At 45.7% G+C, this 24,223-nt stretch overlaps 1 protein-coding gene across 7 annotated transcripts in view, besides 3 other annotated features; it reads left to right on the forward strand.

Annotated features, from left to right (window-relative positions):
- Window positions 1-13,501, forward strand: part of DAPK1 (death associated protein kinase 1) — a 211,407-nt gene extending 197,906 nt beyond the window's left edge. For all 7 annotated transcript variants that reach the window (NM_001288731.2, XM_047422887.1, XM_047422886.1 and 4 more), the window contains 5 exons: window positions 1,874-2,071; window positions 3,523-3,661; window positions 4,984-5,104; window positions 7,896-8,084; window positions 10,999-13,501. In NM_001288731.2, coding sequence (NP_001275660.1) covers window positions 1,874-2,071; window positions 3,523-3,661; window positions 4,984-5,104; window positions 7,896-8,084; window positions 10,999-12,231 — 1,880 coding nt within the window. In that variant the 3' untranslated portion in view covers window positions 12,232-13,501. The remainder of the gene's footprint in view (window positions 1-1,873; window positions 2,072-3,522; window positions 3,662-4,983; window positions 5,105-7,895; window positions 8,085-10,998) is intronic.
- Window positions 4,396-5,595: an enhancer, noted in NCBI's record as "MED14-independent group 3 enhancer chr9:90314444-90315643 (GRCh37/hg19 assembly coordinates)". NCBI's record gives its function as "activates an origin of replication core promoter dependent on BRD2, BRD4, P300/CBP and CDK7 cofactors, and independent of MED14, by STARR-seq in HCT116 cells {active_cell/tissue: HCT116}" and the evidence as "EXISTENCE:reporter gene assay evidence [ECO:0000049][PMID:35650434]".
- Window positions 7,405-8,604: an enhancer, noted in NCBI's record as "CDK7 strongly-dependent group 2 enhancer chr9:90317453-90318652 (GRCh37/hg19 assembly coordinates)". NCBI's record gives its function as "activates an origin of replication core promoter dependent on BRD2, BRD4, P300/CBP, MED14 and CDK7 cofactors, with strong dependence on CDK7, by STARR-seq in HCT116 cells {active_cell/tissue: HCT116}" and the evidence as "EXISTENCE:reporter gene assay evidence [ECO:0000049][PMID:35650434]".
- Window positions 18,254-19,453: an enhancer, noted in NCBI's record as "P300/CBP strongly-dependent group 1 enhancer chr9:90328302-90329501 (GRCh37/hg19 assembly coordinates)". NCBI's record gives its function as "activates an origin of replication core promoter dependent on BRD2, BRD4, P300/CBP, MED14 and CDK7 cofactors, with strong dependence on P300/CBP, by STARR-seq in HCT116 cells {active_cell/tissue: HCT116}" and the evidence as "EXISTENCE:reporter gene assay evidence [ECO:0000049][PMID:35650434]".

Consider the following 24,223-nt stretch of genomic DNA (forward strand, 5'->3'; position numbering starts at 1 on the left):
TCTGATCTCTCACAGCCCCAGCCGCAACCCACCTCAGGACCCCACACTCCAAGAGCCAATTTCTGGGTACCAGAACTTTCCATGCTTGGCCTAAGCAGCCAGCTTTGGAGGGTGGTCCCTCCTGCTTCACTACAAGTCTGAGAAAAACCCTTTAGATCTCAGAGTGCATCTTGACTGCAGGATTTTGGGTACAGAGTAAGCACTGAGGGGTAAACGAGGTGAAGGGAGCCTTCAAATCCTGTAATGGAAGTGGCCCTGGCCAGGCCGCCCCAGAGGCCAGTGGTGGGCGGCCACAGTCCTGGCAGGATGTGGCAGTGTAGAGAGGGGGCATCTCAGGTCCACTGGAGGTTCCGGGAGTCCTGGGAGCTCCAGGTGGAATCTAATCTGCAGATATTTCTGGGGAAATGGGCAGCCTTCACAGCTCCAGTATGGGAAAGCAATTGCCCCCACATACAACCTTTGACCCCTGCTTGACACTTTCCTGCCTGAAGGACCCCACCTCCTCCCAGATCCAAGCACCTCCTGTGTAGGCAGAACTGCTGAGCTCTGCATCTCACACCCCTGCATGCTTCTTGCTTCTTCTGAGCAGCCTGGACAGGGCCCTCAGTCACCTGGCCAAGTCAGTCCCTGTTGAGCCAAATTCAGGTGACTTTTCATAGTCACTGTTACATTCAATATCCTATACCCTGGCACGTTCCAAAATTCATGTATATTTATTCAGGACACAAAATCTTTTCACCCACCTTCTCTCAATTAATCCTCTATGGGACTTTGTGAGTTTGGGAATCACAAACCTAATGTGGGCAGTTTGTCCCCGGCTCCTTCCTTGTCAGGAGTAAATTCTGCAAGTGAAGGTGGAGTGTCTGTATTAAGGATATGTGAGCCTACAACCGTGTCATTATTATTATGGATGTGGTGTTCACACTTCTGCGTAATATGACCTGATGGATCTTTGTTTTTTCCCCAGGTGGTTCTCTCTTTTTTTTAATACACCAATATTTGAGGGGGAGTAATACAAAATATATATGTATACAGACACACACACACACATTTCCATGTAAGCACCCAGGCATGCACATATATGTGTACATGCATGTTGTGTGTGTGTAGCACTCCAGGGTATTAGAAGTAGTCATGATATAGATACATATATACACACACATAATAATGAAGGTACTTAGGGAAAGAGTTAAGCAGGTGCAGACATAAGTAGAAAAACAGACATGGATATACATGCTGTAGATATGTACGCGTGACACAAGTCGATCTGCACGTCAGTAGATGTGTGTCTTCGTTCATTTTGTGTTGCTATAACAGAATACTTGAGACAGGGTAATTGATAAGAAAAGCGGTTCATTTAGCTCATGGCTCTGCAGACTGGGAAGTTCAAGGGGCGTGGCACCAGCATCTGCTTTGATTCTGGTGAGAGCTTTTGAGCTGGGTCTAAATGTGACAGAAGGTCAAAGGGTAAGTGGACACACGGGAAGGGACAAAAACCTGCTTTACATCAATCCACGTTCTCAGGACCTAATCCATTCCCATGAGAACTAATCCACTCTCACAAGAGCAAGAACACACTCACTCACTCACTCACTCCTTCCCACCAGCACCAAGCCATTTGGGAGGGATTTGCACTTAGGACCCAAACACCTCCCACCAGGCCTCACCTCCCACATCACCTCACTGAGTGATTTCAATATGAGTTTTAGTGGGGAACAAACCATACCCAAGTCATAACAAGATGTATACACATACAGAAGAATGCCATAAGTATCACTATGCCTACTTCGAATCCGTGGAACGCTAAGAGAATTTATGATTGAAATTTGGTTAGTGGTGTTTCACGATTGTTATCATTTTTCTTTTTCTGTAGGAGTTGGCGATTTCAGCGTGTGGGAGTTCTCTGGAAATCCTGTGTATTTCTGCTGTTATGACTATTTTGCTGCAAATGATCCCACGTCAATCCATGTTGTTGTCTTTAGTCTAGAAGAGCCCTATGAGATCCAGCTGAACCAAGTGATTTTCTGGCTCAGTTTCCTGAAGTCCCTTGTCCCAGTTGAAGAACCCATAGGTGAGCTAAGTCCCTGCAGGCCAGTGATGTCCTACCTGTGGTTGGCCAGGAATCGCCTCCTCCTTCCAGGCTTCTGCCCTGCTCCTGCCACTGCTGCTGCTGGCCTTGCACCAGGCCATGAGCAGATCCCACCGTTTGTGGCTAACAGCTGAGCCAACTTCCTTTCTCCTTCCTGCTGGGAGACTTCCACTCTGAGAAGCTTCATGAGGCTCAAGTGTTCGTGGTATTCTGCAGGCTGTTTTTGTTTCATGATTGCATATTCCTGCCTCAAAGGCCCACTTTGAACAATCCTTTGAGAGGCATTTCTCACTTTTTTTCTACACTTGAGAGCCATGGTCATTGTATGTTGGGTGCAAAATGGAATCCCTGCTTGGATAGCTACTGCACCTTTACCTAAAGGGTACAGAATTAGTCAGCAGAATGAGCAGTTCTTCATCCTGTAATTCCACTAAGAAACAAAGAAAGAGGCCGGGTGCAGTGGTTCACGGCTGTAATCCTAGCACTGTGGGAAGCCAAGGTGGGCAGATGCCTTGAGCTCAGGAGTTCAAGACCAGCCTGGCCCACATGGCAAAACCTCATCTCTACAAAACATACAAAAACTTAGCCAGGTGTGGTGGCATGTGCCTGTAGTCCCAGCTACTTCAGGGGCTGAGGCAGGAGGATTGCTTGAACCTGGGAGGCTGTGGCTGCAGTGAGCCAAGATCGTGCCACTGCACTTAGCCTGGGTGACACAGTGAGACCCTGTCTCAAAAAAAAAGAGAGAGAAATGAAGAAAGGGAGCATGTTGACTGAATGTGTTATCTTAACTTTATTCCTAGAGGAGAGGATAACATGAAATAAACTTCCTTTGGTCTTTGCCCACAACAAGAGAAGCAGCCTTCCCTGGTGAAATGCAATACTCAGCAGTCAATTTTTTTTCTTTCCGGAAAAGCATATAATACAAGGAGTTGGGCTTAATGCCCCTCTGGGTACTGCCAGTTTTGCCTCTTTCTTTGTCCTTTTTTTCCTTTGTTTTAAACACTCCCCGAAGTGGGAGGCTCTTTGTGTGACTTGCAGGTCATTTACCTCTGACCCATCTCTGTGGTGTTGCTGCACTCAGGCGTCTCTCTTTGGTCTTGTAAGCGGCATCCCTTTTGTCACAGGTTAAATTTTCCCTCTCCTTGTAAGTAGGGGCTATTTGGAGACTTGAGAAACTGCCTTTAGTCATTCTGGTCCACTTTGAGCAATTTTCCTTGTGGCCTAGGAGATAGGCTTATCCTGTCGTTGGCCATGCTGGGGCCTTCTAGGGTCACAGTGCACAGCAGGCGTGGGGCCTTCATCTCTGTGGCATGTTGCACTTGTACCTGGAGAGTCGGCCTGGGCATGAGGCCAACACACCGCCCTCACCTGGGCAGGAGAGGCAGCCAGGTAGGAGGACCCACCCCCTGAAGCAGTTCCCTCTCTGCCCCCAGCCTTCGGTGGCAAGCTGAAGAACCCACTCCAAGTTGTCCTGGTGGCCACCCACGCTGACATCATGAATGTTCCTCGACCGGCTGGAGGCGAGTTTGGATATGACAAAGACACATCGTTGCTGAAAGAGATTAGGAACAGGTGAGGGGCAGCCACTTAGTCTCCAGCTCACGGGTAGCCTCCTCTCCCTGAGAACTGAAGCAGAGGTGTGAAAAGTACAAAGGAAGTCTCATGAACCAGAGAAAGGTTTTAAAGGTCTTTCTTTCTTGGTCAACTCTTTTCTTGTACAGGTCTTGTATCCCTTATTGGAAATGATCGGCTTTAGAAGTGTTTCTGATTTCTTATTTGTTTGGATTTTAATATATGTACATATACATAGCAGTTGAACATCCTAGTTCAAAAATTCTAAATCTGAAATGCTCTAATAACCATTTCCTTTGCATGTCTTGTCTTTGCCCAAAAGGTTTTTGGATTTTGGAACATTTCAGATTTCTGGATTAGGGATGCACAACCTTTATTTTTCATTTTTATTAAAACAATGAATCCACATAGTAAATCAAATACAAATGAAGAGCACGTGATGAAAGCAACCCCCTTCTTTCTACCTCCCAGCAACACTGCCCGGAGGTGACTTCTTTTAGCTGTTTAGATTTCAGTACTCAGTATTCAGTGTTCAGAAACACTAATCAGTATGTCTTACAATATAAGTTGCAACCTACTAGTGAGTCTTAAAATTCATTTAGGAAGTCGTGGCCAATTCTTTTTAAAATGGGATGGAATGGAATGGGATAGGATAGGACAGGAAAGGACAGGACAGGATAGGATAGATCAGATGTCAAGTATTATTTTGTAAAACGTTTGTTTCACTGATGAGTATGGGTATGTACAGGATTATGATGTAAAATATATGTTTTTACTCAGAGTCTATCAAAACAGTTTGAACCTGCAGCTTTCTATAATATGCTAGTATCTCTGATCTTGCATTATCAACTTGAGACATTTATCTATTGTCTTGAGACACTATATCTGTTGCCAGATATAAAAATGGGGCTTCTATTAATATTTTTAGGTCAGTGATGTAGCTTTTGCATTCACACCTCTATTCTTAGTCCCTCCACTTTCCACAGTATCTCTTGTCCTCACTTGTAAGGTGCGAGCATTAGGCCTCACCTTTCCTGCCTCGGGAGAAGCTGACATCTTTCCATGCTGTGCTCCTGCTGCTTCATGCAAACCTGAAGGTCCCGCTCCTATGACTCAGACTATATGCCAGTTTCCCCAAGTCTCTGCACCCACTGTGATGAGGCAGAGCCCACCAACAGCAGGGATGGGGAGGGGCCTTTGCAAGGACACCAGAACTTTCCTTCCCTCCTACCAGCCTCTTGAGCCAGTAGGAGCCTGGCCCCTCCATTAAAAGGCCTGGGGACATTGACTCACTGCTGAGGAGGCTGCTGCTCTTCCCTTAGGTTTGGAAATGATCTTCACATTTCAAATAAGCTGTTTGTTCTGGATGCTGGGGCTTCTGGGTCAAAGGACATGAAGGTACTTCGAAATCATCTGCAAGAAATACGAAGCCAGATTGTTTCGGTAAGTACACCATGGAAAGAGCCTGGACCCCTTTGTACTTCCTTCCTGGTTTGCCTCTGGTTTCAGGGAACTGCTTCATAGTAGGACCCAGTAAGAGGTGTCTGCCTGGACATGTCTTTATCCTAGTGCCCTGGGAAAAGAAAGGAAGAATAGAGAAACAAGGAGATGATGGGAGCTGAAGGGTTATTATGGGCAAGGTGGACCACTTCAATTTTATGAAATTCTTACCGATTTATTGGTTTCTTTAACAATATTTTATTTATTTATTTTATTTTTTCAGAGACAGGATCTCACACTGTCATCCAGGCTGGAGTACAGTGGTGTGATCATAGCTCACCGTAACCTTGAACTCCAGGGCTCAAGCAATCTGTCCATCTCAGCCTCCCAAGTAGCTAGGACTATAGGCACGCACCACCATGTCTGGCTAATTTTTTTGATTTTTTGGTAGAGACAGGGTCTTACTATGTTGCCCAGGCTGGTCTCGAACTCCTAGGCTCAGGTGCTCCTCCCACCTCAGCCTCCCAAAGTGCTGAGATTACAGGTGTGAGCCACCATGCCTGGCCAATTTTGGGAAAAAACCAAAAAATTCAAAAGTGACTTATTGTGGAATATTTAGAAAATTCAGAAAAGTAGAAAAACAGTCACAAACTTTTTTGAAAGACAGAAAAGAATAAATGAACAAAGGGAATGAGACTGTATTCTTGGGTTGCAAGATATGACTATTTTATTTTTCCCTAGTTATATAAATGTAATACAATTTCAGTTAGCATCTGAATGGGTTGAGGGGATTGGGATTTTTATCTTAAAATTTCCATGGAAAAATTCATTAAACCTATTATAAAGCCCCTGATAATCAATACAGTTAAATAGGAGGAAAAGCTTAGAGGGTATAGAAGTAAATCATAATATCTTTAGAAATATAATGGAAAATAAATATGTCATTTGAATTTAATGGGGTAAAGATTATTTAATAAATGAACCTGGCACAACTGGCTATTTGTCTGGAAGGAAATAAAGTTGGATTCCTACACCCTACAAAGTCCAAAAATAAATGGATTAAAGCTTTTAAGTAAAAACATGAAACAATAAATACCTTGAATAGAAATTGTGGAGAGTGTATTTTCAAAATAACTAGGGACTGAGGGAACCTGTTAAACCAAGATCTAAAACCCTAGAAATTTTAAAAGAAAATATACCTGTTTGAAAATGTAAAAATTTTTAAAATTTTTTTCTAGCAAACAAATTAAGTAAACAAAGTTGAAAGGTGAAATAGGCTGGGAAAAAGCATTCTCAATGCTTTGGACAGATAAATGGTCACACCGTAATGTTCAAAAAGCTCTCCGGAATTGGTAAGAAAAGGGCGAGCGTCCCAGTGGAGAAGTGGTGGCATTCACTCTGGAGTCTTCCTGCTGCCGAGGCCTGAGGACAAATGCGGGCAGATGCCTGTCTCCCTCTCTTACCTTTGAAGCTGCCTCTGGGTGTATTTTTTTTTTTTTTTTTTAACTGCTTTGCTAATAAGAAAATGCTGTGCTTCCCGCACCAGATTCTGGTTCTAGATGTGCTTCCAGAATTCTCGGGAAACCCTTTCCTGTCTCCAGAAAACCCTGCCCTTCACACCAGATATCCTCGTTGGGGTCCCACTGTGGCATCATCAGAAGATAGGGGGTAGTCCGGTGAGGCCTGGGAGGAATCTGTCACAGAAACCAGGGGCGGTGATCTGGGAACTAACAGTGGTCTCTGAGGGCCCCTGTGCTTCCCCACCAGGTCTGGATTGAGGCTGCATTCCTGAGGCAGGAGGGAGTGTCCCTGGAGATTTTTGAGCTGGGCTCTGGCATGATCTGCTGCTTCTCAGACACCCCCCGCCCAACCCCTAAACTCCTGAGCTCAGGCAGGTGGAGCCCACCACATCAACTGCACTCACCCCTGAGAATTTTGTTTTTGAATGCAGAGTGGAATTTAGCTGACACAAAAGAATTTGAGAGGGGAGTGCGGAATTAATGGCACGGTGTAGCCTGTGGCTTATGTGGTTTCTAATTCAGAGGTATGTGGATTACGTGAGTCTGTAACATATGCTGATCTAATTAACCAAGTTAAAAGGTTAAAAATCCACTTCAGCCTACATACCAAGAATGGGTCTAATTGGAAACAATATTTCAACAACAGTCCCCACGAATGCCTAATTTACTGGTAAACACTCACTCTAATATTGATGATGATACTCATTCTCTTTTCCTCTGTTCATAAAGTGATCATTGCCTGAGTGAAACAGTCACGAGAGAGAGAGCGAGGGAAGAAAGGAGGGAGGGAGGAAAAAGTGAGGGAGTGAAACATTAGGAGTTGGTGAACATTAGTTGATTGAGTGACTGAGTCCACAATTCCAAAAACGTTCCTAGAAGACTCAAAATCTATTTAACATGAACTAAAGAGCCTTTATAAAACTTTATATTTGAGCAATAGATGAGGCTTAAAAGCAAGTCTAAAAGACAACTGCCCCAGTACTCAACCCAAAAAACACAAACTAGCCAGACACAGTGGTGTGTACTTGTAGTCGGAGCTACTCAGGAGACTGAGACAAGAGGATTACTTGAGCCCAAGGGTTTGAGACCAGCCTGGGCAATAGCGAGACCCAGTCTAAAAAAAGAAAAAAAAACGTCAACAACAACAAAAAAACCCACTCGTTCATCAAATCACCTGCAAGGCGCCTGAATGAAAGGTGTCCTTTCCACTGTGGCTCTGCTCAGGGCACCCACAGCTGCAGGTGAGTTAACCTGTCTGGCCCTGCCCCCTCTAGGTCTGTCCTCCCATGACTCACCTGTGTGAGAAAATCATCTCCACGCTGCCTTCCTGGAGGAAGCTCAATGGACCCAACCAGCTGATGTCGCTGCAGCAGTTTGTGTACGACGTGCAGGACCAGCTGAACCCCCTGGCCAGCGAGGAGGACCTCAGGCGCATTGCTCAGCAGCTCCACAGCACAGGCGAGGTGAGCCCCTGGGAGCCCAGGCAGGGGGCCGTGAGAGGTGCCAGGGACTCAGCCTGTCCCAAATTCCAGCTCTTGGAAGTGGTGTGAGCCTGGGGAAGCAGTGTGGAAATGGTCCAGCTAACCTACAACATTTCCACACGTGTGACAAACACAGCCTCAAGTGACGCTCTGAACTGCAGTTCTCGGCTCACCTTAGGAGCTGTCATTTTGTCTTGTCGTGTTTTGCTTTTATTTCCAGAGTCTGTTAGTTTGGGAGTGCAGTGCCCACTGCCCTGGGTGACTGGGTCTCTCTTCACTCCCCCTGGGCACCAGGAACTTAATCTGCTACTCCTGGCAGCCTTCAGGATGGCTTCTTTGTATCAGCGTGGAGTCATCAGCTCCACACAGATCTCCTGGGTGGGAAAACAGTTGAGAAAAGGCAGTGAGGTGTCCTTGTGGAGGCAATGTCTGGAGATACAAAGACAGAGAACTCTGGTGCACAGATACACAGAGTAATCATAATTAAAGATGCACATTAAAAAACTCTAGCAAGCAATGCCCAGCAGAAATGATTGAGAATGGGAGGCTTTGCTCTGGTTCTGTGACATTGAGCACCAGGGCGCGGTTTGGAAACCCTGTTCTAATGGCATCATATGCCTGTCCCAGGAACGGGGGCAGTGCCTTCGTGTTTCTCCACCATGTGAAATTGGGAGCCTACATGAACTAGTGTGGGCCAAGAAGAGCGGTTCTGAATATTGCAACTAAAAGCAGCTCTGAGATTATTAAAAGCCAGATGCTTACCTCCCCAATCTCAGGTGCCAGGTCTGGCCCTATAGCCAGTTTGTATGAGTCATACAAATTTCTTGAAACTAAACCTGAATCCACAAGCCAGTGACCTTGAAAACTGGAGTCGCCGGGCAGTAATTTCATCAGCCTTTAAACTCCCAGTTAAATGGCCAGAGAATCTGCCAACTCATCCAGGAATACTTTAAAGTGATTGAATCCAAGGAAGAACACAGGTGAAGGACCACATCTTAGATGACAAGATACTGCTGGATGTAAAAAATGTGTCAATTCTAATTCTAAACTCCTTTGGCACAGGAGTCCCTTGCTTTCTAGTAGTAGACCAGCAACTTTCTAGATCATATCATATAGTCTCCTTTATTTGTCATTACATCCCTGCTTGCCCTTGAGAGTTTAGTAAGTAAATGAAGATGTAAAGAAGGAGGGTAATTAGGCAGCAGGAACTACATTGTGTGGCCCGACTTTGATTGGCCCCGGGCCTCCTCCAGACCTGCCTTCCGTATCTAATTTGCAGATCTTCAGAACTCCCCAGTGGCCCTTCTGACTCTGTTTTCTGGCCCAGGGTCCCACACTACGTTTAGCTGACTGTCTTAGCTCCCTGTTCTCCTCCACTATGGGACAGTTTCGTCTTTCCTGAGCCTGAGGCGATGAGCAGTGTTTAGGACCAAACTGCAAATGGTATTCCAGCAAATGCTGTATCAGGAACTAGATCAATATTGGCTCTGCCCTCCAGGAATTTTCAACCTAGGTTCAATTCTGAATAGACTCTTAGACAGGGGGCATCTTTCAGGTTTAAGCCAGACTGTGGGCAGGAAATTACTGTGTGGTCACCGGTGGGGTCAGAGCCTCCAAGTGAGGGAGTCCAGGGCGATGGCCACTCTCCAAGAAAGGAAGCAGAACTCTTCCATAAAGGGAAAGTTCCTTCTGTTTTTTGTCACTTTTTTTTCCTTTCTTTTTATTTTTTTAAGAAATAAACACAACCAAAAAGCTAAAGTCCCCTTGGGCCATCATCTCTGGTCTCACTCCTCTCTCCCCTTCTCGGAGGCCAACTATTATCATGGCAGCATATCCTTTCAGGCCTTTTCTATGTGTGTGTGTTAAACATTCACATAATGGTATAATAATAGAATGTTCTGACTCTTTTTTGAAAATGTTCTCAAGCCTTTAGAGAAGTTGCAAGGATAGTACCATGAACTCTCATATAGGCTACATTTATTTATTTTTTTAATTAATTAATTAATTTTTTTTTTTTTTTTTTTGAGATAGAGTCTCACTCTGTTGCCAAGGCTGGAGTGCAGTGGCACAATCTCGGCTCACTGCAGCCTCCGCCTCCTGGGTTCAAGTGATTCTGCCTCAGCCTACAGACACAAGCCATCACACCCAACTAAATTTTGTATTTTTAGAAGAGACAGGGTTTTACCATGTTGGCCAGGCTGGTCTCAAACTCCTGACCTCAAGTGATCCACCCGCCTCGGCCTCCCAAAGTGCTGGGATTACAGGCATGAGTCACGGTGCCCAGCCTACTACATTTAAGCTGATCAGTTGTTGACATTTTGCTACATTTGCTCGATTCCTTTCCTTTCTATTTATTTACTTATTTATTTTGCAGACATGATGACATTTCTTCCCTAAATAATTTAGCCTATATCTCCTAAGGAGAAGGATATTTTCCCACATAACCCAATATAATTGATGATTCCAGAAACATAACATTAATATAGTACTATGATTGAATATATCATCCTCATACAAGGGTTTGCCACTGGTCCCAATAATTTCTTTTAAAGCTATTTTTATTTATGTACTTATTTTGGGATTCAGAATCCAGTCTAAAATCACTCATTGCATTTGGTTGCCATCTCCCATTTTTTTTTCTTCTTTCATTTCGCTGGCCTTTTTGAAGACTTCAGGGGAGTTGTTTTTCAGAATCTCTATTCTGACATTTTCAAGCTGCTTTTCTCCACTCGGTGTTTGGTTTTTGAGACGCATCCACGTGGAATGGCCTTGGGTCACTCCTTAGAGCATCTGCTCAGCCTCTGTTGCCGGCATCAGGCCCTTTAGTGCTCTAAGTGGCTGGTGCACCTGGCCAGGGCTCTGTCCCTAAGCGTGACTTTCTGTTGTCCCCCCGCAGATCAACATCATGCAAAGTGAAACAGTTCAGGACGTGCTGCTCCTGGACCCCCGCTGGCTCTGCACAAACGTCCTGGGGAAGTTGCTGTCCGTGGAGACCCCACGGGCGCTGCACCACTACCGGGGCCGCTACACCGTGGAGGACATCCAGCGCCTGGTGCCCGACAGCGACGTGGAGGAGCTGCTGCAGATCCTCGATGCCATGGACATCTGCGCCCGGGACCTGAGCAGCGGGACCATGGTGGACGTCCCAGCCCTGATCAAGACAGACAACCTGCACCGCTCCTGGGCTGATGAGGAGGACGAGGTGATGGTGTATGGTGGCGTGCGCATCGTGCCCGTGGAACACCTCACCCCCTTCCCATGTGGCATCTTTCACAAGGTCCAGGTGAACCTGTGCCGGTGGATCCACCAGCAAAGCACAGAGGGCGACGCGGACATCCGCCTGTGGGTGAATGGCTGCAAGCTGGCCAACCGTGGGGCCGAGCTGCTGGTGCTGCTGGTCAACCACGGCCAGGGCATTGAGGTCCAGGTCCGCGGCCTGGAGACGGAGAAGATCAAGTGCTGCCTGCTGCTGGACTCGGTGTGCAGCACCATTGAGAACGTCATGGCCACCACGCTGCCAGGGCTCCTGACCGTGAAGCATTACCTGAGCCCCCAGCAGCTGCGGGAGCACCATGAGCCCGTCATGATCTACCAGCCACGGGACTTCTTCCGGGCACAGACTCTGAAGGAAACCTCACTGACCAACACCATGGGGGGGTACAAGGAAAGCTTCAGCAGCATCATGTGCTTCGGGTGTCACGACGTCTACTCACAGGCCAGCCTCGGCATGGACATCCATGCATCAGACCTGAACCTCCTCACTCGGAGGAAACTGAGTCGCCTGCTGGACCCGCCCGACCCCCTGGGGAAGGACTGGTGCCTTCTCGCCATGAACTTAGGCCTCCCTGACCTCGTGGCAAAGTACAACACCAGTAACGGGGCTCCCAAGGATTTCCTCCCCAGCCCCCTCCACGCCCTGCTGCGGGAATGGACCACCTACCCTGAGAGCACAGTGGGCACCCTCATGTCCAAACTGAGGGAGCTGGGTCGCCGGGATGCCGCAGACTTTTTGCTGAAGGCATCCTCTGTGTTCAAAATCAACCTGGATGGCAATGGCCAGGAGGCCTATGCCTCGAGCTGCAACAGCGGCACCTCTTACAATTCCATTAGCTCTGTTGTATCCCGGTGAGGGCAGCCTCTGGCTTGGGCAGGGTCTGTTTGGACTGCAGAAGCAAGGGGGTGATGTAGCCCATCCTTCCCTTTGGAGATGCTGAGGGTGTTTCTTCCTGCACCCACAGCCAGGGGGATGCCACTCCTCCCTCCGGCTTGACCTGTTTCTCTGCCGCTACCTCCCTCCCCGTCTCATTCCGTTGTCTGTGGATGGTCATTGCAGTTTAAGAGCAGAACAGATCTTTTACTTTGGCCGCTTGAAAAGCTAGTGTACCTCCTCTCAGTGTTTTGGACTCCATCTCTCATCCTCCAGTACCTTGCTTCTTACTGATAATTTTGCTGGAATTCCTAACTTTTCAATGACATTTTTTTTAACTACTATATTGATTGTCCTTTAAAAAAGAAAAGTGCATATTTATCCAAAATGTGTATTTCTTATACGCTTTTCTTTGTTATACCATTTCCTCAGCTTATCTCTTTTATATTTGTAGGAGAAACTCCCATGTATGGAATCCCACTGTATGATTTATAAACAGACAATATGTGAGTGCCTTTTGCAGAAGAGGGTGTGTTTGAAATCATCGGAGTCAGCCAGGAGCTGTCACCAAGGAAACGCTACCTCTCTGTCCCTTGCTGTATGCTGATCATCGCCAGAGGTGCTTCACCCTGAGTTTTGTTTTGTATTGTTTTCTGACAGTTTTTCTGTTTTGTTTGGCAAGGAAAGGGGAGAAGGGAATCCTCCTCCAGGGTGATTTTATGATCAGTGTTGTTGCTCTAGGAAGACATTTTTCCGTTTGCTTTTGTTCCAATGTCAATGTGAACGTCCACATGAAACCTACACACTGTCATGCTTCATCATTCCCTCTCATCTCAGGTAGAAGGTTGACACAGTTGTAGGGTTACAGAGACCTATGTAAGAATTCAGAAGACCCCTGACTCATCATTTGTGGCAGTCCCTTATAATTGGTGCATAGCAGATGGTTTCCACATTTAGATCCTGGTTTCATAACTTCCTGTACTTGAAGTCTAAAAGCAGAAAATAAAGGAAGCAAGTTTTCTTCCATGATTTTAAATTGTGATCGAGTTTTAAATTGATAGGAGGGAACATGTCCTAATTCTTCTGTCCTGAGAAGCATGTAATGTTAATGTTATATCATATGTATATATATATATGCACTATGTATATACATATATATTAATACTGGTATTTTTACTTAATCTATAAAATGTCGTTAAAAAGTTGTTTGTTTTTTTCTTTTTTTATAAATAAACTGTTGCTCGTTGCATTAGTTTTTTTGATCTTTAATTCAAAAGGATTTCTTTTTACTTGTTGTGGTTTTACTGTTGTCACCCCACATAGCAGGACAACCCAGTCCAAAACCTAGAAAATCATTACACCTCAACTCTCAGGGTTATTGAGATGCCGATTATTACTCAAATTAGGAATGGTGTGGGAAAGTGAAAAGAGTTCAGATAATTTTCACATTTCTTCCCATTGTAAATAAAACAGGCCCCTTAGATTTTTCTCGGGTGAACCAAAAAACCAAACTGACTCTTTTAGTTTTGGCAACAGGGAACAGAGGAAGCTTTGCGACTTCTACACAAAAATGATGGGGATGGCACCAGGAGGAAGAGAAAACCTACAGCAAAAAGACCTTCGTGCCTTTCTTACATTTATAGTTCATTTATGTTTCAAGCAAGTTGTCCACAATAAACATGATTAACTTTCATAATGAGAAAAGAAGTCCTGATGAATAAAATTAAAACTAGACATAGGTGTGTCTACAAAGGATGAGACTGAAAGGGAAACTGTGGTCGCCTTAAGGAGCGGAAACTCCTTTTCTTGTCTCAGCTCCTTCCTGAGTGTTGGCTTCACTCTCTCCTGCTTCAAAAGACTGCTTCCTATAGCGGCAGGTAAGCTAAAAACCAGAGAGAAGGGGTTTGTCTCTTGCAGCATCTATATGTAAAATCCCAGAGTGGGACTCTGATTCGATTAGCTTGTGTCACATAGCTATCCCTGTGCAAATTTGGAAAAGACAGAGTTACTAGGATTGGCCTCATCACCCAATGAGCTGTTGGGGGAGAAGCAGTTCTCCCCAAGACTAGGGTTCTGTTAGTAGAAGAAAGGTGAGGGAGGATGCTGGGGAGACACATTTGAGTTACTGCAAAAGTCTTAATACTTTTTTTGAGAGAGAGGGCTTGGCTTCTGTGACCCAGGCTGTGGTGCGGTGGCATGATCATAGCTCACTGTTGCTTCAAAGTCCAGAGCTCCAGCAGTCCTTCCAACTCAACCTCCTGAGTAGCTAGGCCTGCAAGGGCACACCACCGTGCCTGGCTAATTTTTTTTTTTTTTTTTTAAGGAGATGATCTCACTATGTTGCCCAGGCTGGTCTCAAACTTCTGGCCTCAAGTCATCCTCCCACCTCTGCCTCCTGAAGTGAGAGGATTACAGGCATGAGCCACAATACCCAGCCAGTGCTTTTGTTTTATGCAAGTCCTAGGACAGGCACCTGTTCATATGATTGTGGGGTCCCCGGGCTCCTGAAATGTTGGGACCACAGTCAGGAATCATTGCAACCCAAAGGTCAAGAGCTTAAGGATCACTCAACTCACTGCCCCATCTTGGGAAATGCCCTGGGGCACTCTTCAGGGGGCAGTTTGGAGTCTGTACCAGGAGCTTCTGTACCAGGAGCTCTGGTCAGGCTGAAACTGGCCACTGCCCACTGTATGCAGCTGGCTCTCTCCCCTGCAGGTGGGAGGAAACAAGACCATAGCTTACCTCCTGTGTCCATAGTGAGAATCAAAAGGTGCAAATTCTAGGAGTCAGAAAGAAAAGCCAATCATGGGACCCTGTCTCTTAGAGTTGCTGTGAAATGCACTCAGTTGCCATGTTCCTCGTCACCTCTTTACTATAGTGTAACAGCCTCTGGGTACCACGTCCAAACTTGGGCCACCTTGGGGTGCCTGAGGTCTCCAGTGTGGACAAAAGTATCCCAGGGACCCAAAGCCAGTACGGTGTGGGCTTGAAGGCATTTGTGGGAGTTGCAATGGGTTCCAAAATCTCAACCCCTACACCTTCTAAAAGGAATCAGAACTTGGTGGAAATTTTGCTGGTCTATTTTGTAGAAAAGCTGTTAGGGTGACAACTACAGGATTCACAAAAATCATAAAACTATATTTGGCCCTGTCGCTGTTCAGAGTCCACACTGGTCTTACTAAGCCCTGATAGAGTGACCACAGAAAAGTCACTCCAAAGTGAGGGGCCCAGCGTGGCTGTTCTTGCATAAACAATGGCTAGATAATAGCCGGGCTGTAAAACCAAGAGGGAAGTGCGCAGATCTGAGCTTAGAAGTGGAAGCTTTCATTAAGAGTAAAAAGATGGGCCAGGTGCAGTGGTTCATGCCTGTAATCCCAGCACTTTGGGAGGCGGAGGTGGGCAGATCACCTGAGGTCAGGAGTTCAAGACCAGCCTGGGCAAAATGGTGAAACCCTGTCTGTGCTAAAAATACAAAAAAATTAGCCAGGCATGGTGGTGTGTGCCTGAAATTCCAGCTACTTAGGAGGCTGAGGCAGGAGAATCACTTGAACCCAGGAGGCAGAGGTTGCAGTGAGCTGAGATCGCACCACTGCACTCCAGCCTGGGCAACAAGCGCAAAAATTACGTCTAAAAAAAAAAAGAATAAAAAGATGGAGGCGGGCGTGGCGGGTCACACCTGTAATCCTAGCACTTTGGGAAGCCAAGATAGGCAGATCACTTGAGGTCAGGAGTTCGAGACCAGCCTGGCCAACATGGTGAAACCTTGTCTCTACTAAAAATACAAAAAAATTAGCTGGGCGTGGTGAGGGGGCGCCTGTAATCCCAGCTACTCAGGAGACTGAGGCAGGAGAATTGCTTGAACCCGGGAGGCAGAGGTTGCAGTGAAATGAGATTGCTCCATTGCACTCCAGCCTGGGCGACTGAGCGAGACTCCATCTCAAAATAAACGAATGAATGAATTAAAAGATGATTTCAGTTTTGCAAGATGAAGAAAGTTTCTGGAGGGCATGGTGATGATGGCACAACAATATGAATGTATTGAATGCCACTGATCTGTGCAGTTCAAGTTGGGTAAAGTAGTAAATTTTGTGTTTCTCTATATTACCACAGTTTTCTTTAAAAAAAAAAAAAAAACTAAAAAGATAAAGCTGAAACCTAAAAATGTCCAGGTAACAATAAAGCTGGCAGAGTAATGTACAAGACTACCTACTGTATTTAGAGCAGCTCAGCCAAGCGGAGCCCCCCAGAAAAGGGGAACAGGAAAAGGGATTGATTGCTTTTTAAAGAATTTAATATTTGTTATTTCAAAAAAAAAAAAACTTTAAAGTGGTCCTCAGAGGGGGAAGAAGTGAGAGTTCTGTTTGGCTTCTTTCCTCTTTTGATTGGCAGAGGGTTTTGTTTTTAGTTTGAATTCGTATTTGAGACCCAGCGCCACAGTCTTTGCAGGACTATGCATTCCTGAGAACTTAAACTGAACTGTTTATGAGGAATAGTGTGAGGGTGAGGGCCCAGCCCTGGCTCACTGAGTCCTCAGGGCTCAGCTCCACAGCTGCCTGAGGAATTTGCTCTCAAGGGCAATCTTCAGCGATCTGGAGCATAGCTGGGCTTTGGGTGGCAACCTGAGGGTGAGGTCAGACTGTAGCATCACAACCAAAAGTCACATGCTGATGACAGGCTCCAAATCCTCCCAGCCCAGGGCCTGGTGGCTTCCAGATGTTGACTCAGGACAGGAACCGCTTGTCTGCCCTAAATGAATGCCATGGCCAGAGAGGGTGGACCAGGGGCACCTCTGACAGGGAGAGTTAAGGAGCAGTGAGCTCCCTTCCACCTCCGCTGAGCAGAAAGGAACCCTGGAAATACCTTCAGGACAGACAGCTGCTGATCTCTTCCTGGAAGCGCTGGGCCTCAGAAGCTTGCTGGTTCCTGCCTATTTGCTCCCACGGCAAATTCTTGATTCTTTATCAGAAAGGAGGGAAGAAGTGTGTGGGTGTGAGGGGGAAGAAGCCACAGGAATGCCCACAGCAGAGGTCCTCGGGGACGCTGGGCTATCCCTGGTGGCAACACTCTTGGGGCTGGTGCTGGGTGAGGACGGCCTCCCAAGCACCCTATGCTGTGACTCCAGCCCCCAGGATTCTCCTCAGGGTAGAGAGAAGGAGCTCAGGTGAGCTCTGGATGAATGATACCATCTTTTCCATTGAAATCACAGAATTTTACAACTAAAGAGAACTTCCAGATGGTTTGAGTCAACCGCACTCTGGCAGCTGGAAGCAGAGATGAAAAGATTCAGGCAAAATTACACAGTTCAATTATTAACAATTCAGACTAAGCATCAGGCCATCTGACCCCAACTGAGGGCCCCTCATCCTATTCTACTAAGTATATTACACTGCAGTCTGTATGTGTGTGTGCATGTGTGTGTCATGAGAGTACACGGATATGCAGGTGTATGCATCTGTATTTTGTGCATAAATGTGTGCATTTGTGTACATGTATATTAATGTATGTGCGTGTGTCATGTGCATATGTGTAGCAGAGTTAGTGTGCATATGCACATGTGTATATGTGTATTGCGCATGTGTATACACATGTATATATGGGGGTAAGTCTGTGTCTTTGGTATGTGCATATATGTGTGTGTGTGATGTGTGTGCATGTGTGTGTGCTTTGTGTGTGTGGTGTGTGTGCATGTGGTGTGTGTGGGGGTGTGTGTGGTGTGTGTTTATGTGATGTGTGTGTGGTGTGTGTGTGAGGTGTGTAGGGTGTGTGCGTGTGTGGTGTGCATGTGGTATGGTTGTGTGTGGTGTGTGCGTGTGTGGTGTGTGTGTGGGGTGTGCGCATATGTGTGGCATATGTATGTGTATATGTGTGGTGTGTGTTGTGTTTGGTGTGTGTGGTGTGTGCATGTGTGTATCTGGTGTGTGTGGTGTGTGTGATGTGTGTATGTGCGGTGTGTGTGTTTTTGGTGTGTGGTGTTTGTGGTGTGTATGTGTTTGGTGTGTGGTGTGTGTGTTTGGTGTGTGGTGTGTGTGTGGTGTGTGTGTGGGGGGGGTGTGGTGTGTGTGTGGTGTGTCGTGTGTGTGTGTGTCATGAGAGATTCTTAGGCCATAATGGCTTTTTTTTCTGACCAAGAGACTTGATTCTTGCTGATTCAGCCATGAGTGTGCATTTCCCACAATCAGGGTGACTAACCAGGACATCCGGAGAAGTTTCTTCCTCTCTGCCTCACCCATCCCACTCGCTCCATCCTCAAAGCGGACACTCAGATGCTGGGGCTTCTGCCCCAGTGTGTGACCCCACGGGAGGTTTGCAGAGTCCTCAGGTTGCGTCACAGCCAGCGTTGATGAGCATCATCCTGTCTTCCAAGAAGGCAGGCCAGTCACCCAAGAATGAGCCAGAGCTGCTTCTGTAAATCACGAGATTCTGTGACCCAGATTAACATGGAAGGAGAAACCAGCAGCTGCTGCCGCCGTAGGCACAAGTCAGCAACTTCAGTCCTTCTGAGGCTGGCCCTTCCTGGCCATGGGCTGCCCTTTCCCTTTGGGGTAATTTGAGGCAATGAAAGTTTTTATTCCCTTTGGTTGTATTTTCTAGACATGTTTTAATGTAGCTGAAATCATATGAAGTGTTCAATTTTATACCCTGCTTTTTTTAAACGGAAGATTATGACACAGCTTTTTTACAATGTTATTAGAAGCTTTTCAGAAACATTCCTTTTAACGGCTGCAAAATGCTATAATAATATTGTCATATCCCAATTCCCTACTGTGAAACACTCAGGCGTTATTCCCTGTTGAAAACAAAGCTGGGCTAAACATCTTTATGCACATTTTTTTCTGTATTTCGGACTGGACATGATATATGTGGCTTTTTGGGCTGTCGGCACATAACAATTAAAATCCAAAAAGAGAAAACATTAATTGCTGAGCAAAACTTTGCATTTATGTTGCACTCTATCTGGTTTTCTTTTCTTCCAGAAAAACATTATTTTATTAATCAATGGCTAACACACTTTATAATAATTTTTACCAAATTTTTTGCTACATATAACAGCTTTTATAATCTTACTCTTTTAGCAAGAACGGAAAAAATTCATTCTTTCCACCATCACAAGAGATTAATTACTCAATAATTACATTTATTACCAGTTTAGAAAACTTTGAGCTTCAAAACCCATTACAGGCAATGTCATAAATTTTAAAGATTACTGTCAAATCTGGTGAACACTCTATCAAGTTTAGTTTCATTTGATTATACATAAGCTGTAAGATTTTCTGACATTGCAAGTTTAATTGTCTAGTGACTTATTTTAAATGCTTTTTAATGCCAACACTCATTATCCAATTGTCATTCATGTCCTTCTCTGCCTGGCTTTATGGGCTGAATTTCTGTGCAGGTGCCTTTTGCTGAGAAGGCACCCTTCCCAGTGCTCTGGGCCATTCTCTGTGTGGTTCCATTGCTATCCCGCTCCAGGTACCAAAGGATTTGGCCTCCAAACTCTGCTGCCCACCTTGGTGGTTGGACACATACTCCTGGAGGACCTGGAGTCAAAACAAGCCACATACATCCTGCTGACATGGAGAACAGCCAGCTACTGAGCAAACATGCAACACTGGTGATATTGTGCAATGTTCCCAGCTGTGAATTTATCTCATTGTTTTCACCCAGTGACATTTTTATCTTATCCCTCCATAAGCCAGGCAAAAGTACACTAAACGCTTGAATAGATTCTCTCTTGTCATTTTGGAATTACTATTTTCATTTTTTATTTGAAAATGAGAAATAAAAAGGAATCTTATAACTTCTCTCTGCCCCTTAAAGCTATTTTCAATAAAGAGTAGCTTTTTTTTTTTTTTTTTTGTGAAATGGAGTCTTGCTCTGTCACTCTGTCGCCAGGCTGGTGTGCAGTGGTGCGATCTCGGCTTACTGCAACCTCTGCCTCCCAGGTTCAAGTGATTCTCCTGCCTCAGGCTCCTGAGTAGCAGGGACTACAGGCACGCACCACCACACCTGGCTAATTTTTGTATTTTTAGTAGAGACGGGGTTTTACCATGTTGGCCAGGATGGTCTCGATCTCTTGACCTCATGATCCGCCCACTTTGGCCTCCCAAAGTGCTGGGATTACAGGCATGAGCCACCGTGCCTGGCCGCCTTTTTTTTTTTTTTTTTTTTTTTTTAACTGACTCTTAAACCTTGAGACGCCTTGCTATTGCCAGTGGTTCCCACACTTTGGGAATGTTATGAAATAGCAAACTTTTATAAAGAACATGGAGGACTGACACTCTGACACTTTGTTTTGCAAAGAACACAGAAACTACAATAACTATCCAATGCTGTCACCAATCATAGTGCCCCAAAAGAAAGAGAAGGAAAGAAAGAAATTAATAAATAGAGAAAAAAATTCCAAATGAAAAAAATTAAAGCAGCAAGGAAGGGCGGGGCACGGTGGCTCACGCCTGTAATCCCATTACTTTGGGAGGTCGAGGCGGGTAGATCACTTGAGGCCAGGAGTTCAAGACCAGCCTGGCCAACATGGCGAAACCTTGTCTCTACTAAAAATACAAATATTAGCCAGGCATGGTGGCACGCTCCTGTAATCCCAGCTACCGGGGAGGCTGAGGCACGAGAATCACTTGAACCCGGGAGGCAGAGGCTGGAGTGAGCCGAGATTGTGCCACTGCACTCCAGCCTGGGCAACAGAGCAAGACAGAGCAAAAAAAAAAAAAAAAAAAAAAAAAAAAAGCAGCAAGGAAGGCAAGGAAGGAAGGAAACAAAAGAGAGAGAGAAAGTGGGAAGGTTACAGTCCTAGAATAATTAACATTCCTTTCAATGGAATAACTTAATCTTAGGGGAAAAAAATTACCCAGTGCTCTTCATTTTTCTCCATTTCCCTGGAATTGTGAAAAGTTCACCATGGGCAACATGACTCTAAAGGTTTATTGCTGTGTTTTGTTTGCTCAGGAGCCTTTGCTCTTTGCTATGCATAGAAGTTCAGGAAAAGCCCTCAGGCCCCGTCTCATGACATATTTCATGACAATGTTTATTCCATCCCCTGAACACTGAAACTTACCCAAGGTCCCTGCGGGAGGGCCACACTTTAGGAAGCACAGTATTTCTGGTTGCTCTTAACATAGGGGCATAGGATCCAACAGTCAGGAGGAAATGGGATGTCTCGAAGTTCAGCCAGAGCATCACCCGCCATGAAATATGAGGGTCAGTCGGTCTCCGCTCAAATGGTCCCAGAGATGGAGGATTGGAAAAGCAGATTTTAATTCCTACGTGAGCTGACACTTACCACCTGTATTTCTCATCCCTTGTTCTGTCTTCCAGGCTATAAAGACGCCTTGAATCCTCCTCCACGATACCCGCCCCACTATTTGTTGGCACAGCTATGATGCTGCTTATGGATTGTTTTCACTCCTAAAGACAGTGGCGCAAGGCAAGGTGACCTGGAGCGAGGCCATCCTGAGTGCCCACCCAGCTTCCCAGGAGCCTGTTGGAATTTGGAAGGACATTTGCCTCTGTTTATAAAGACTGGCTTTTTGCTGAAAGCCAGGGTCTCAAAAATTTTGTTTTATTAATAGAAGCTAAACCCCAAACATTTGGCTCTTTTTCATTCCATTTCCCCTTTCACAATCTTAACTATTCCCAAGACAATGGATACCTCTGCCTGTATCAAGGGCAGATTGTCAATAAGAAAGTCAACAGGAAATAAACATTATTATTTCAAAAATACTATCCTTATCCATTTTAAATTAAGGGGCTAGGAGAAAAGGATATGAGGATTTACTGTTGAATGGGTTAGGAGTTTCAGTTTGGGATGAAGAGAAAGTTCTGGAGATGGATGGCGGTGATGGTGGCACAACAATGCGATGAACTTCATGCCGCTCTCAAAAATAGTGAAAATGGTCAAGTTTATGTTACGTCTATTTTACTATAATAAAAAAAAAATTTTGGTTTTCAGTGGGCAGGTGAATAAGGAGACCCTCTTGCCACCTCTTGGCAAGAGCAAGAAAGGAGATTGGAATATCAGCAGTGTGAGCTCTTCCAAGGGCAGTGGTGACAGCCTGGGAGACTGGTCAGCGTAGCAAGGGCAGGTGCAGGTCCCTGGTCCTAGAATGTGAGTGTGGCAAGCCAGCCTTAACTTCTGCCTGCCTAGGAGGCATCCTAGGAGGTGAGCCTTAGTGAGCAGGGGTGAGCTCTGTTTGTCCTGTATGCAGCAGCAGATTATCTGTCTGCTCATGCAGACTATGTAGATTGCTCAGAGTTGCTAGAGGGAGGGCCTGTGGGGCCTGAACTTCAGCCTGCACTCAGCTCATCAAGCCATGGGCTCTCTCAGGGCCATGTCTGTCCAACCCTTGCAAAGCCTCTGGATGGGTGATCCTGGGCACTAAACCTTGACCATTCTAAAATACTATTTGGCACAGCCTGGATGAGGTCTGTACATAGAGTGTGTAGATCCCTCAAGTTCCCTGAACACTCCGCCATGCAAGTGATGCAGAGAAGTCAGCTAGGAGGAAGACAAGGTGTGGGGAAGAACAGCACCAGCCAGGAAGCATCATCCCAAATCTGAGTTCATGAGGCTGATGAAGAGAATGTCCACACCATTAAAGAGATTCTAGCATTCCTTTTCTATGTTTGTCAACCTTTGTCCTTGTTAGTGCCTGAATAAAACTGAACATGAGAATGTGGCCATGGGAATTATAGTATAGGCCTAAGGAGAGGTTGTAAACTTCAGGCTTCATCAACACTTGACCATTTCCTCCCATTTTCTGGGAACTAATTAGCCCCTTTCTGTTTCACCCATGCAGTACCCCGGCTATTGGGCTTCATTACTCCAGTATGCTTTCCAGAACTATCATATTCCTTTAATCTTCTTGAAATAAATTTGGCTTGGATCGCACTCCCCTAAATCTAGTCTCTTTCATTGTCCAGGGAGCCACCCCTCCTCCCATGGTTGTGCAAGTGTCTCGGGGTCTTCTGAGCAGTCTGCGTTTGCTGCCTTTGGTCATCCCAACCTGTCTGACCTGCCTTCTCACCCTCCATGCAAGCCTGAGTGTGGGAATATTCCAGAGCCCACATGCTCTAAGCTCAGCCATCCCAGGTATGAGTGCAAGGAGGCTACAGCCCTCAGCCTCTTGCAGAAAACCCCTGTTGCTCCCCAAGTTTGGGAGGTGACTCTTCTCTCCTCTTTCTCCAACTCCACCAAGCTATGGACAATTAATTCCTTGATGACACTGACCTCTAGGTTCATAAGAGAGGTTTTCAGACTGGCTCCAGGAATTGAGAAAATCTTTTCCTCTCTCTTCAGCCTTGGCTTTTGGATCATTGTGAACTCAGAAATCTATCGGGAAAGTCTAATTCTGAACACTGATTCTTTTTTCTCTTTACATTCCTATTGTTAAAATTCTGATTATCTGTGAGAAAACAATATCCCTGTCTGTATAGGGGTGATGTCCTTGAAAAGGGAACACAAAAAAGGAAAAAAAATCATATTTGCACAATAAAGTATCACCCCCCTTGTGTTATATACACCACAGGTCTGCAGGCATGAGACTGAGGTCAGACTGTGAGTATTCTCCCCTCCATCCCACCCTCCACCTGCTCTGTGACCTGCGTCAGAACCCCAGGGACAAGATAAGATTTCTCCAAAACTCAATGGAGAGTCACAGAAAACAGGAAGTGCTTTTGAGGAAGTTTTGAATGGAAGCAGGAGGTGAGAGTTGGGAACTGTATGCTGGGAAATGACCTCTCGGCTGGGACTCTTGGGAGGGTGTGATGTCTTGGTTGCTGCTCCTGTGAACTGTGGAGAAGGTCAGGTTTAGCGTAAACTGTCCCCTGTGGTCCTCCTGCAATTCTCCTAATGACTGTCAGCCCTCAGTACCAGGGTCCCATACACCCCTGCAGCACTGCATCCCCATTTGTTGGAGTTCCACCTCCTGAGACCAAATCCTGGCTTCCTCACTGACTAGCCCTG

This window comes from Homo sapiens, chromosome 9, assembly GCF_000001405.40.
Source record: "Homo sapiens chromosome 9, GRCh38.p14 Primary Assembly".
NCBI classification, from domain to species: Eukaryota; Metazoa; Chordata; class Mammalia; order Primates; family Hominidae; genus Homo; species Homo sapiens.